Source organism: Homo sapiens, chromosome 5 (genome assembly GCF_000001405.40).
Source record: "Homo sapiens chromosome 5, GRCh38.p14 Primary Assembly".
In the NCBI taxonomy this organism is placed as follows: domain Eukaryota; kingdom Metazoa; phylum Chordata; class Mammalia; order Primates; family Hominidae; genus Homo; species Homo sapiens.
Genome location: NC_000005.10, coordinates 160,226,360 through 160,239,696, shown reverse-complemented (window position 1 = coordinate 160,239,696; position 13,337 = coordinate 160,226,360). Strand labels below are relative to the sequence as shown.

The 13,337-nt window shown below is 49.1% G+C and overlaps 1 protein-coding gene across 3 annotated transcripts in view, besides 2 other annotated features; it reads right to left on the bottom strand.

The window, feature by feature from the left end:
- FABP6 (fatty acid binding protein 6) overlaps positions 975 to 13,337 on the bottom strand; it is a 51,342-nt gene continuing 38,979 nt past the window's right edge. The window contains exons 3-6 of one of the 3 annotated variants that reach the window (NM_001040442.1): positions 10,073 to 10,151; positions 7,424 to 7,599; positions 4,788 to 4,877; positions 975 to 1,091 (exon numbers count right to left, since the gene is read on the bottom strand). In NM_001040442.1, coding sequence (NP_001035532.1) covers positions 1,038 to 1,091; positions 4,788 to 4,877; positions 7,424 to 7,599; positions 10,073 to 10,151 — 399 coding nt within the window. In that variant the 3' untranslated portion in view covers positions 975 to 1,037. Of the gene's footprint in view, positions 1,092 to 4,787; positions 4,878 to 7,423; positions 7,600 to 10,072; positions 10,192 to 13,337 lie in introns of those variants that run through there. The other 2 variants (NM_001130958.2, NM_001445.3) reach the window with 2 other exon arrangements.
- Positions 1,348 to 2,303: an enhancer, noted in NCBI's record as "NANOG-H3K27ac-H3K4me1 hESC enhancer chr5:159664401-159665356 (GRCh37/hg19 assembly coordinates)". NCBI's record gives its function as "activates a minimal SCP1, AML or CMV promoter by ChIP-STARR-seq in naive and primed H9 embryonic stem cells {active_cell/tissue: H9 hESC(naive and primed)}" and the evidence as "EXISTENCE:reporter gene assay evidence [ECO:0000049][PMID:30033119]".
- Positions 6,248 to 6,297: a silencer, noted in NCBI's record as "silent region_16581". NCBI's record gives its function as "represses an Ori minimal core promoter by ATAC-STARR-seq in GM12878 lymphoblastoid cells {active_cell/tissue: GM12878}" and the evidence as "EXISTENCE:reporter gene assay evidence [ECO:0000049][PMID:35858748]".

Below are 13,337 nucleotides of genomic sequence, written 5' to 3'. Positions count from 1 at the left end.
AGATCGTGCCATTGCACTCCAGCCTGGGCAACAAGGGCAAAACTCCGTCTCAAAAAAAAAGAAAAATATTGGGTAAAAAAGAAGTCAAGGTGGTACCCAGATGTGGTAACACTTCCAAGGAGAGAGGAGGATGAAAAAAGTCCCCTTCAGGACTCTGAATTAGAGATTGTCCCAGGACAGCTGCCAAACCCAAATGCTGCCTCAGAATGCTTCTCAACCCAGGACACCAGGCACCTGATGTCTGGGTGACCCCGCCCCCCCTTCCCAGCCGCCCATAGCCTCTCAAAGTTCTTCCCAGGCACCCCGCCCAAGCCCTATGAGTCAAAACCAGGACACTCCAGTCCCTCCTGTCCCTCCTATCACCCCCATTGCCCCTTTGCCATCTCATAGACCACTGATTCCCCTCAGCCCATCATTGGTCCTCCTGGACCCCCTTTGTACCCCTCAGTGGGTAAACTGAGGACCAAAGGGATGACTCCACAGTGAATAAAAGCAGAGCCCCGGCCAAGCTGAAACAGCTTCCCTGGGTGAGCTCTGGTCCATCCCCACTTTGAGCCTTGGAGCCCAGCAGCCGGGGCCCTTCCTAGAGGTACAGCTCCCACCCCACAACCCCCAAGTCCTGATATGCCTGGCCTGTGGCCCATCCGAGAATCAATGCGTTACCCTTCCCAGCTGACTTTGTCTCCATAAAGGAGGCTTCAAGCAGCACAGAGTAGTGGGTGGCAGAGTGGGGCGAAGGGGCCACAGAAGTGTGCCCACCATGTTTCCTGTACGCCACCTTCAGCCTCACCCAGGGGCAGGAGCATTGCAGTCATCCACATTCATGTCTTCCTCCGCCATGACATGAATCCCACATGGATCTCAGGGGCAATGTGTTGCCCATGTGGCCACCCTTGGGGGCTTTCCCACCCTCACCCAGCCAGAGGCCATCCCAAGACACCAGAAAAGAAAAACAAAGAGGTTCTGGAGCGAGCAGCGTCTGTCCTTATATCAGTTTTATTGGTGGGTTTGTAGCTCCCTGGGCCGGGCCTGGCTGCTTAGGCCAGTCTCTTGCTCACGCGCTCATAGGTCACGCCTCCGATGGTGGAGACCTGAAAGAAGCAGCCGGGACAGAGGGAGTCAGTGCCCCACCCCAAGGTAGCCAGGAGGCACCGCTGAAGGAAGATGAGTCTCCAACCCCGGCCTTGAGTAGATAAGAGTCAGGCGCACCACTTCTTTCGGCCTCAGTTTCCCAATTTGTTCCAGGAGTCAGTGTGAAGACTCCCTGTGATGAATGGTAACCAGCTGTGAGGGGTGATGTGGCTCTGGGTGTGGAACCCTGCACCTCTTTTCCTCTCCATTCACCCATGTCAGGCTGTTACCCTGCATGATTCCATTTAATCCTCCCAACAGCCCTGTGAGGTTGTTCCCATTGTACAGATGGGAAAATTGAAGTTTAGAGAAGTCAAGTAATCCTTCCAAGGCCACACGCCATGGCTGCACCATGCAGTGTTTGTGAGCACCTGTCACATGCTCGGTGATGGGAAGATACAGTCCCTACTCTCGAGAAGCCTAAGGTTTAGTGGGAGAGGCAGGCGGGGGGGATGCTGTTCTTTGAAGGCCCACAGTGTGCGGTGCCCCAGGCTCCATGCTGTGGAGCTGTGCTGCCATTGGATGTGCACGTGTCATCAGCTGGTTCTGACACCCAGCAGAAGAAAGCAGCATTTCCATGAGAAGGGCGGGTAGCAAACAGAGAGCTGTGGGAGAGCCCAGAGGAGGCAGGGAGCCACTGACTAGATAACAGGAGGGGGAATTGGCTGTTGGACAGAATCCTGAAGAATTGGATTTGGAAAAGCAAACAGGAGAAAGGGAATTCAGAGCAGAGGAAGCACATGGCACAGAAAGGGAGATAGGAATGGCTCTGTCCAGCTCAGGAGCAGTAGCTGGTCCAGAGGGGCTGGGGAGAGCATACCTGTAGAATTGGGCAGTAAGGCCGTGGAAGGTCAAGCGGAGGAGTTTGGTCCTGATTCATAACAAAGGGCAGCAGTGGGAGGTGATGTGTGATTTGCATATGGGATGGATGGAAGGTGGGGGAGAGGTGGAATCAGAGGAGGCTGGGGCTTGGTGTAGGGGAGAGGTGATGAGAACATGGCAGGGGTGCTGGTGGCGGAAGGCAGGAGGGATGCTTACAAAATGCACTGTCTATTGGTGGAGAAGTGGGGAGGTGCCAGGATGATTCTGGGCCTCTAGAGATGGGGGATTTGCAATCAAGACAGCTCCTCTCGGGGCCTAGTCATGCAACTTTGTTTATGTGTGCACGTGCCTGGGTCTATGTGCATACATGTGTGTGTTCCTGGCTGTGTCATGTGTGTGTGTGCATGATGACCCTGAACTCTGGTCACTGCCCACACCACATGGGCTCCATGATGAGGAATCTCTGGGAATTGACAAGCAGGTTCGCTCAGCTTGGGAAGATCAATTCTCTTGTCAGGCCCAAACCTGCTTCCAGTTCTCCTGCCCTATGCTCTTCCTGCACACCTCACAGGCTGGGGAGCTTTGCTTCTTCTGGGAGTTACTGACTGACATTTCATGTAAAAATGCATCAAAAGCCCTTTCATCAGATCCTTCAAAATGTCAGTTTTCACCCAGGAGAAGAGGGATATAGTCACTTTTGTTCTTTTTACAGTTTTTCAACACTGTACATCTATTAGTTTTTAGATTATTATTATTATTTTTTTTGAGACAGAGTTTTGCTCTTGTTGTCCAGGCTGGAGGGGGCTCATTCTTTGCTCACTGCAACCTCTGCCTCCTGGATTGAAGCGATTCTCCTGCCTCAGCCTCCTAAGTAGCTGGGATTACAGGTGTGCACCACCACACCTGGCTAATTTTTTTTTTTTTTTGTATTTTTAGTAGAGACCGGGTTTCACCATGTTGGCTGGGCTGGTCTTGAACTTCTGACCTCAGGTGATCCACTTGCCTCAGCCTCCCAAAGTGCTGGGATTAGAAGCTTGAGCCACCACACCCAGATAATTTTTAGATTATTTAAACAAAAATGTTAAAGGGGGATAAAAAGACCCGTGGGCCTGGGCAGAAGAGGCAGGGGGCCTAGTCTAGAAGTCAGCAGATGAGATCTGCCTCTGCATGTACTAGTTGTGTGGCCACGGCCAAGTCCCTTGCTGTCTCTGAGCCTTGTAATGCTGCTCTGTAAAATAAGTATAATGGGAGGGCACGGAACCTCTTGGGCCATCTTATGGACTGCGCGTGTGTCCCCCCACCAAACCCATATGATAAAGGTCAAAGCCCCAGTGTGATGGTATTTGGAGATAGGACCTTTAGGGGGTAATTAAGTTATGAGAGTGGAGTCCCCATGAAGGATTAGTGCCCTCATAACAACAGACACAAGGCCTGGTGCAGTGGCTCACACCTGTAATCCCAGCACTTTGGGAGACCAGGGTGGGCAGATCACTTGAGGTCAGGAGTTCGAGACCAGCCTGGCCAACATGGTGAAACCCTGTCTCTACTAAAAATACAAAAATTAGCCAGATGTGATGGTGGGCTCCTGTAATCCCAGCTACTTGGGGAGGCTGAGGAAGGAGAATTGCTTGAACCTGAGGGCGGAGGTTGCAGTGAGCCAAGATCATGCCACTGAACTCCAGCCTGGACAACAGAGCAAGACTCTGTTTCGAAAAAAAAAAAAAAAACAGACATGAGAGAGATGACGTCTCCCTGCCATGTGAAGAAACCAGGACGGGGGCCCTCATAAGCCCCTGACCATGCTGGCACCCTGATCTTGTACTTTCCTGCTTCCAGAGCTGTGTGAAATAAGTGTCTGTGGTGTAAATCATTTACACCACAGTGTCTGAGAGAGGCAGTGTGCTCCTTTCCTCTTGACAGGGCTTGAGATGTGGGCACAAGAAAGCGAGAATGAGAGAGAGAGAGAGAGAAGGATCAAAGAAGGAGAAGCAAAGGGGTCACACAAACACTGCCTCCCTCATCATGTCTTCCCTGCTGGAGAGCTTCAGGGAGGAGGGAAGGGCCCTTTCTAGACCTACACGGGACCCCAGAGGGTCTCTGGCCCAGGTCACAGGCTCACAGTGAGGGAATGAAGTATGGAAATGCCTTCTTTTCCCTTTTAACCTCACGTTCATTCCTTCCACCTGGGGAAAACTTGGAGACCCACGGGAAAGCAACAGAAGTGAGAGGAAGGGCCTCCCAGGGCACCACCTCCAGTGTAGGAGGAGTGGGTCCCCAGATGTGTGTGTGGGACCTGCCAATATTTACAGAATTTTTTTAATTAGTTGCCAATATTTAATAGTGTGGAGATTTCACACGGAAGTGCAAATTTCCAACTTCTCTTGATAAATCAGAAGATCTGGTAGAAGGGGCCTGATGTCCCTCATGGAAAAGGAATGGAGTGGTGGCTGTCCTTTGAGGAGCCCACCTGGACCACCTCCTTTATTTATATTCTGGGAAGGATCTTCCGGGCTTCCAGTCTCGTGTCCCAGAAGCGGTTGAGTGTGAGTGCTGCAGTCAGGCTACTTAGCATCAAACCTCAGCTCTGTCGTCAAATCTGTGTGCTCCCTCACTTATCCCTGTGCTTCAGTCTCCTCAAATGGAGATAAAAATCCCCACCTAACAGGGTTATTTTGAAGACCAAATGACATCATGTGCATCCAGCACTCAGCATAGAGCCTGGTACAAGGGAAGTGCTGGTAAAGCCAGCTGCGTAGAGGCCTACTTCTGAGGGGCTGTGGCCAAGAGGCAGACAAATATCCAATAATCATCCCAGGAATCAGCATGACACTCACCTCCACCAGCTTGTCACCCACGATCTCTGAGGTCTGGTGATAGTTGGGGAAATTCACCACCAGCTTCCCGCCCTCCATCTGCACAGTGGCCTGGAATGGAAGCACAACATTAAGCCTGGGTTGTTGCAGGTGATTGGCAACTATCTGGGGCTGGTGGCGCGGGCAGTAAGAAGAATTTACCAAGGCCAGGCACGGTGGCTTATGCCTATAATCCCAGCACTTTGGGAGACTGAGGCAGGCGGATCACTTGAGGTCAGGAGTTCGAGACCAGCCTGGCCAACGTGGTGAAACCCCGTCTCTACTAAAAATACAAAAAGTAGCCCGGTGTGGTGGCTCATGCCTGTAATCCCAGCTACTTGGGAGGCTGAGGCGTGAGAATCACTTGAACCCGGGAGGCAGAGGCTGCAGTGAGCAGAGATCGTGGCACTGCGCTCCAGCCTGGGCAACAGAGCAAGACTCTGTCTCAAAAAAAAAAAAAAAAATGAATTTACCAAGACAGTTGTAGGTAAAAAAAAAAAAAAAAAAAAAAGTCAGATTTCTTAGAGAAAGTATGAAAATATGTTGCAAGGGTGCACTGGGCAGGACAGCAAGAGAGGAGCTGACTGCAAGGAGACAAAGTCTTGCTGGAGAGTTTATAGACTGTTGCTTATGCTGTGTGCTGAAGCGGGTTTTGTGCAGTACTGACAAAGCAAAGGTTATGGTGAGATAACTTACATTTTTCTATCAGTGGAGGTGATGATAGCTGGGCACAGGAAGATTGTGAGTTATTTGCACAGGAGGGCTATGTGTTCTGGACCATGAAGAAAGGCAGACTTACAGCTTATCTGCTCTCCTTTTTTGCTTTACCCTGCTGCCGCCAACCTGACTCCTTTTCTATTATTAGAACTCCACATGGGTCACCAGAGGCCTAATGATAGAGGCAAATAGCTGGGGTTCAAATCCCTGGTCCCACCATGTTCTAGCTGCAAGGCCCTAGACACATTACTTGGTCTCCCTGAGCCTCGGTTTCTTCACTTCTTTTTTTTTTTTTCTTTTTTTGAGACGGAGCCTCGCCCTGTTGCCCAGGCTGGAGTGCAATGGTGTGATCTCGGCTCACTGTAACCTCCGCCTCCAGGGTTCAAGCGATCTCCTGCCTCAGCCTCCCGAGTAGCTGGGATTACAGGCACCGGCCACCACGCCTGGCTAATTTTTGTATTTTTTGTAGAGACAGGGTTTCACCATATTGGCCAGTCTGGTCCTGAACTCCTAACCTCGTGATCTGCCTGCCTTGGCTTCCCAAAGCGCTGGGATTACAGGCGTGAGCCACCGTGCCCGGCCAGTTTCTTCACTTCTAAAACAAAAGCAAATGACTGCATTTTTTCTTCTAGCATTCATTATGTGGCAGGCAACATGCCAGGTGCTTTCATGCACTGTCTTGTTTAATCTTCACCACAGCTCTTGGAGCTAGAGATTGTATGTAGTCTCCTTTTGCATACTAGAGATATGAGGCTCAGGGGAGTGAAATGACTTGCCCAAGGCCCTACAATTGCTGGTGGGAAATCATGGTTTCAAACCCAGCCAAGGCTCACTCCAGGGCCCAGTGTCTTTATCTCTGTGCTACACAGAGAGGCAGCATAAAAAAAGCACTTATGGCTGGGCACGGTGGCTCACACCTGTAATCCCAGCACTTTAGGAGGTCAAGGTGGGCGGATCACAAGGTCAGGAGTTTGAGACCAGCCTGGTCAACATGATGAAACCCTATCTCAGCTAAAAATACAAAAATTAGCCAGATGTGGTGGTGCACGCCTGTAATCCCAGCTACTCAGGAGGCTGAGGCAGGAGAATCGCTTGAACCCAGGAGGCAGAGGTTGCAGTGAGCCGAGATCATGACACTGCACTCCAGCCTGGGTGACAGAGTGAGTCTCGAATAAAAAAAAAAAAACACTTATGCTCTCTAGTGCCTGGTGTAAAGGCCTGCCCCTGTTGTGTAACTAAGGCAAGGTTTTTTTTATTTTTATTTATTTATTTTTTTGTGTGATGGACTCTCACTCTGTCGCCCAGGCTGGAGTGCAGTGGCATGATCTCAGCTCACTGCAACCTCTGCCTACTGGATTCAAGCGATTCCCCTGCCTCAGCCTCCTGAGTAGCCAGGATTACAGGCATGCACCACTATGTCCAGCTAATTTTTGTATTTTTGGTAGAGATGGGGTTTCACCATGTTGGCCAGGCTAATCTCAAAATCCTGGCCTCGAGCCATCCACCCACCTCGGCCTCCCAAAGTGCTGGGATTACAGGCATGAGCCACTGTGCCTGGCCAGCAAGCTTTTTAATCTCATGATTTAGCCTCCCCGATCAATCTGGAGAGAGTAATTGTAGCAATTTCATAGGATTAACTGCATTAAGATGGAAAAACTATTCAGCAAGTGTCTAGCTTATAATAAGTGTCCAGCAAGTATTAGCTATTTTTCTTATTGTTTTAGTGCCCATGTTTGACCATTAAAAATCAGGAGCATTAAATTGCCAAGTAACTCAAGCTCCTAATGCTGGAGGCCAAACTGGAGAAAGAAGCCTCAGCTCGGGAGCGGGGAGGCCATGTTTGAGAAGGAGAAGTCAGATGGAGGCCTGGGGAAGGAGGGGGACAGCCAGTGGCCTCTCACCTTGAACGTCTTGCCCCCCATTGTCTGTATGTTGCTTTCCTTGCCAACAGTGAACTTGTTGGTCATGGTGTGGCCCCCGGAGTAGTGCTGGGACCAAGTGAAGTCCTGCCCATCCTGCTGCACCTCCGTGACGATCTTGAAGTTGCGGGCCTTTTCGATTACATCGCTGGAGATCCCTGGACCCGGGGACAAGCAGAGTAGCCATATAAGAGCTGCTTTTAACCCTGTGGTTTGGGAAAAGAGCTTTCCTGCCCACCCCCACCGCCCTACCCCCTTGTGCATGATAGGCTAGCCTGCAGGTTAAGAGCACAGTGCCTGAGACAGCTAATACGTGCTGTGAGCCATGTGGCTGGGGAAAGTCCCTATCTCTCTGAGCTTCAGTCTATTCATCCACAATATGGAGATAATAAGGCCCATCCCAAAAGGCTGTTACAAGAATTATATTCAATGTGAGTGTGTTTGTGAAGCTCCTGGCACATGGTGGGTGCTCATCAATAATAACCAAGCTTCTGATAGTAATATAAATATAACTGAATCTTGCCAAGCTCGCGAAGTTCTGGAATGAATGAGACTTTCAAGACCAGGTATGGTGGTTCATGCCTGTAATCCCAGCTCCTTGAGGGCCCGAGGCAGGCAGATCGTTTAAGGTCAGAAGTTCGAGACCAGCCTGGCTAACATGGTAAAACCCTGTCTCTACTAAAAATACAAAAAAATTATCTGGGCATGGTGGCAGGTGCCTGTAATACTGGCTACTTGAGAGGCTGAGGCAAAAGAATCACTTAAACCCTGGAGGCAGAGGTTGCAGTGAGCTGGGATCGCGCCACTGCAGTTCCGCCTGGGCTACAGAGCAGGACTCCGTCCCCTCCTCCCTGCCAGAGAAAGACTGTGTCTTCTAATACTTTTATTTTACAGATAAGGAAGTGAGCACCCAGAATGGGAAAGGGACTTCCCAGTATTTCACTGAAATTTAATGACCGAATCAGGTCTAGAACCAAAGTGGGCTCACTTCCCATCCCACAACACGAGGCTGTTATAGGTGAAGCCAAGTCATTGCTCCTTCAGGGCCACTGCCAATACATGACTCAGAGGGACTCTCGACTCCTCAAGGCCCCAAGGCACAAGGGCCCTGGTCTCAGGGTTGCTCTGAGCCAGCTGGCAGGCAAGAAGTGGCCACCAAGAGGGAGGGCACGGGTCCCCTTGAGCTGTCCTCTGAACCTTGAGAGTTACACTGCCTGAGACTTTTTAGATAGTGAGATACTGAGATTTCCACAAGATTGTCAGATCCACTGTCTCATTGGTTCCTCACAACAGACTGGTGTTACAAGTCAAGCAGTGAGAGAAGGAATGAAATCACTGGTCTCTCTGCCCACAGTGTTTGGCACAGTAAGAGGCCTGTGTTTGCTGAATGACTGTGTGAAGAAGTGACTTGTCAAACCTGGTCTCCATGCTAACCCTTTGGTTTCCTCTCCCAGGCAGGATGTGGTGACACCACTCATCACAGGGTCCTGGGTGCCAATGGCCTCTGCCACTGACTTGGGCAAGTCACGCTGAGTCCCCATTGGTAACACTGAGATAGCCTTGCATATAGCTGGTGTTCAATAAATGTTTGATGGGCTGGGCTCGGTGGCTCACGTCTGTAATCCCAGCATTTTGGGAGGCCGAGGTGGGTGGATCACCTGAGGTTAGGAGTTCAAGACCAGCCTGAGCAACAGGGTGATACCCCGTCTCTACTGAAAATACAAAAAATTAGCCAGATGTGGTGGCACATGCCTGTAGTTCCAGCTACTTGAGAGGCTGAGGTAGGAGAATTGCTGGAACCCAGGAGACGGAGGTTGCAGTGAGCTGAGATCATGCCACTACACTTCAGCCTGGGAGACAGAGCAAGACTCCGTCTCAAAAATAAATGAATAAAAATAAATACATGTTTGACTAAATAAACATCAAATCTCTACTTCACCAACCAAGTCTCCACTTTACCAATTACTAGCTGTGTGACTTTGGACTAGTTAATTCCCTGGGCCTCAAGTTTTCCATCAGTAAAGTGGAAATACTAATATATTCTATGTGTGTTTTAAAGTCAAAGAGTGTCTATGCTGGGTGCGGCAGCTCACGCCTGTAATTCCAGCACTTTGGGAGGTCGAGCTGGGTGGATCACCTGAGGTCAGGAGTTCAAGACCAGCCTGGCCAACATGGTAAAACCCCATCTTTACTAAAAAAATACAAAAAAAAAAAATTAGCCGGGCGTGGTGGTGCACACCTGTAATCCCAGCTACTCGGGAGGCTGAGGCAGGAGAATTACTTGAACGTGGGAGCCGAAGGTTGCAGTGAGCCGAGATGGTGCCACTGCACTCCAGCCTGGGAGACAGAGTGAGACTCTGTCTCAAAAATAAAATAAAATAAAATAAAATAAAATAAAATAAAATAAAATAAAATAAAATAAAATAAAATAAAAAAGTTAAAGAGTGTCTTAGTTCTTATTATCCTCAGAGCCTGGGAGAAAGCAGTTGCTCAACAAATGTGTGAATGAATGAATGAGTGAGTGAGTGAATGAATGGATGAAATCCTGTCCCATTCTACTTTAGGGTTCCTGGCCCAGAGCTGGCTGTGACAAACCAACCCCGAGGAAGGGATACCCAGGAGCTCACTCACCAAGGAGCTTCATGAACTCATCATAATTCTTCTCACTCTCCATCTCGAACTTGCCGGTGAAAGCCATGCTGCTGGGAGGCTGGAGGCCAGAGAGCAGAGGGATGAGGAGAATGGGTGGTGCTGAGGGGTCTGCTATCCCAGCTTATAAACTCTCCCAGTTGCTGAGGCTCAGCCCCTAAGTCACCCCACTTCTTCTCCCTCCTGTCCTGAAGAGGAAGCACTTGCTGTTTTATGATGTGGGCAGGACCTGGAGGGACAGAGCCCCGAGGTTATTCACCCTGGGGAAGTGCTGTCACCCCATTGCCAGCAGGGTCAGGATGGCAACGGGTTTGAGGAGTCATCACCTCTCTGCCCATCTCTCCCTCCGTTCCCGCATGCCCTGCCCTCAACCCATGCTCTCACCATCTCTCATCACTCTTGCACCCTCTAACTCTGCAGCCAAAGCACTTGAGCACTTGCTGCATGCAGGGCCAGCACTGAAGAAACACAGATGAACGAGACACACACCTTTCCCAAAAGAGCCTTTGGTTTAGTCCAGAGACAAGCACACACCTGCAGAGAGTTCTTGTGTAAGCAGGATGTGATGTGCCCCAGGAGAAAAGCAGATGGCTGACCTGGAGCATGGGGAAGGAGCAATGGTGTCCAGCGCAGGGCTAGTGCATGTTTGGGGAGGAGGTGGCATTTGGCACCCGTCTTGGAGGACCAATAGGACTTGGATGTGTAGAGAAGCAGGAAGGTTGGAGGAGGCTGAGAACAAAGGGAGACGATATTCTAGGACGAGGGAACAGTGTGACGAAGATGGAAAGGGCCATGATGAAAGGAAACAATGAGTTTAGCTGGAGCAAAGCAAACTTGAAGGAGAACAGATGCTCCTAAGGGTGCAGATAATGCAACCAGAGTAAAGCAGCCACCCATGGGCCTAGGCAGCGCACCTGGAGGAGAAGGTGCCAGGTGCCTTGAAGATGCCTGTGCACCAGGCACTGGGCTGGATGCTGGATGAGTTTTATTTTGTTCAAGCTTCAGAGCTGGAAGGGGTTAGGGGTTCAGAATCTTGACTTCCATTTCCTGCTGTGTCTCTCAGTACCACTTCACATGCAGGGACTCTATCTCCTCCGTGATCACTCCGGCCTACCCATCTTGTGAGAATGTCCTCTGCATTGGGCAAAATTGACAGTGCAAAGTATAAAACACTCTGCAAAGGCTCTCGTGATTATTATGTATTTATTTATTTTTGAGATGGAGTTTCACTCTTGTTTCCCAGGCTGGAGTGCAAAGGTGTGATCTCGGCTCACTGCAACCTCCGCCTCCCGGGTTCAAGCAATTCTCCTGCCTCAGCCTCCAGAGTAGCTGGGATTACAGGCATGCACCACCACACCCAGCTAATTTTGTATTTTTAGTAGAGACGGGGTTTCTCCACGTTGCTTAGGCTGGTCTCAAACTCCCAACCTCAAGTGATCCGCCTGCCTCAGCCTCCCAAAGTGCTGGGATTACAGACGTGAGCCACCACACCCGGCCAATTATTATTATTAATTCAGGAAACCTCTGCACGTCTATTTCCTTTTCCCAGGCTTGCTCTCCATGAATCTCCTTCATTTCCATCTAAAGCTGAATTCAATACAGTTGCTGACTCCCAGACCTGGGACTAAGCGGTCTCTGAACTGATGAAAAACCAACTCTGCCACATTTTACCAGGCTTTAATCTCCAATCTTGGAATTTCTAACTCCAGCCAGGACTCTTACTTTAGTCTAACAGGCAGACAGACAGACAGACAGACACACACACACACACACACACACACACACACGTCATGGATTTTTTTAAGTTATATATATAAAAATTTCAAATAATTCAGAGCAAGTGAGAGTCCTGTCAGAGGTGGCCTGTGATAGTAGTTTGGTACCTCTCCTTCTAGGCTTTTTCTTTCCTTTTCTTTTTTCCTGAGACAGGGTCTCTCTTTGTCGCCCAGGCTGGAGTGCCGTGTGTGATCTCAGCTCACTGCAGCCTTAACCTCCCAGGCTCCAGTGATCCTCCCAAATCAGCCTCCCAAACAGCTGGGACTACAAGTACATGCCACCATGCCTTTTTTTTTTTTTTTTTTGAAGTGAAGTCTCCCTCCGTTGCCGAGGCCAAAGTGCAGTGGTACAATCTTGGCTCACGGCAACCTCCGCTCCCAGGTTTAAGCGATTCTCCTGCCTCAGCCTCCCTAGTAGCTGGGACTACAGGTGCTTGCCACCACACTTAGCTAATTTTTAGTAGAGACAAGGTTTCACTGTGTTGGCCAGGCTGGTCTCAAACTCCTGAACTTGGATGATCCGCCCACCTCGGCCTCCCAAAGTGCTGAGATTAGAGGCCTGAGCCACCACACCCAGCCCTTTTAGGCTTTTAAATGCACATATTTATTTTCTGGTATAAATGAGACTATATTGCTCTGTTACCTCCTGTTTATGTAATGATATGGGCACATGTCTATATCATTACAAAAGGGTATATCATATCCTGTTCAACAGCTCCAGAGTATTCTATCATATGTATGTCTCATAACTTACTTAGCTATTGCTGGATTTTTAGGTTGTTTCCAATCTTTTCCTATTATAAATAACAGTGATAAAAATATTCTTGTTCACACCTTTCACTGTACATGTCAGATTATTTGCTAAGATTGCTTGCTAAGGATGAATTCCCAGACATGAAATTCCTGGAACAAAGGATTGTAGTATTTAAAATTTGTATATCTATTACTTTACTGCCTTTCAGAAAAGCTATAGCAGTTTACACTCCCGCCTAGAGCATGTGAGAATTTCCCCTCACTGATAATAATAATGATGATACAACAATGACTGATAATAATAACAATGGCAAGAATAGCTCACATTTATTGGATCTTTATTATGCATTTGGCACTCAGCTGAGTGTTTTACATGAATGATCTTATTTAATCTTCAGAACAGCTCTATGAAGTATGTACTGTTATTGCCCCCATTTCACCTAGGAGCAAACAGAGGTTCAGTGAAGTGTTACCTTGACAAAGTATACCTTGCCAAAGTCACAGAGCCCCAGTGTATAGTTTATATTTACTTTTTTTTTTTTTTTGAGACAGTCTCATGGGGCGATCTCGGCTCACTGCAACCTCCGCCTCCCAGGTTCAAGCAATTCTCCTGCCTCAGCCTCCTGAGTAGCTGGGATTACAGGTGCCCACCATCATGCCCGGCTAATTTTCTGTATCTTTAGTAGAGACGGGGTTTTCCATGTTGGCGAGGCTGGTCT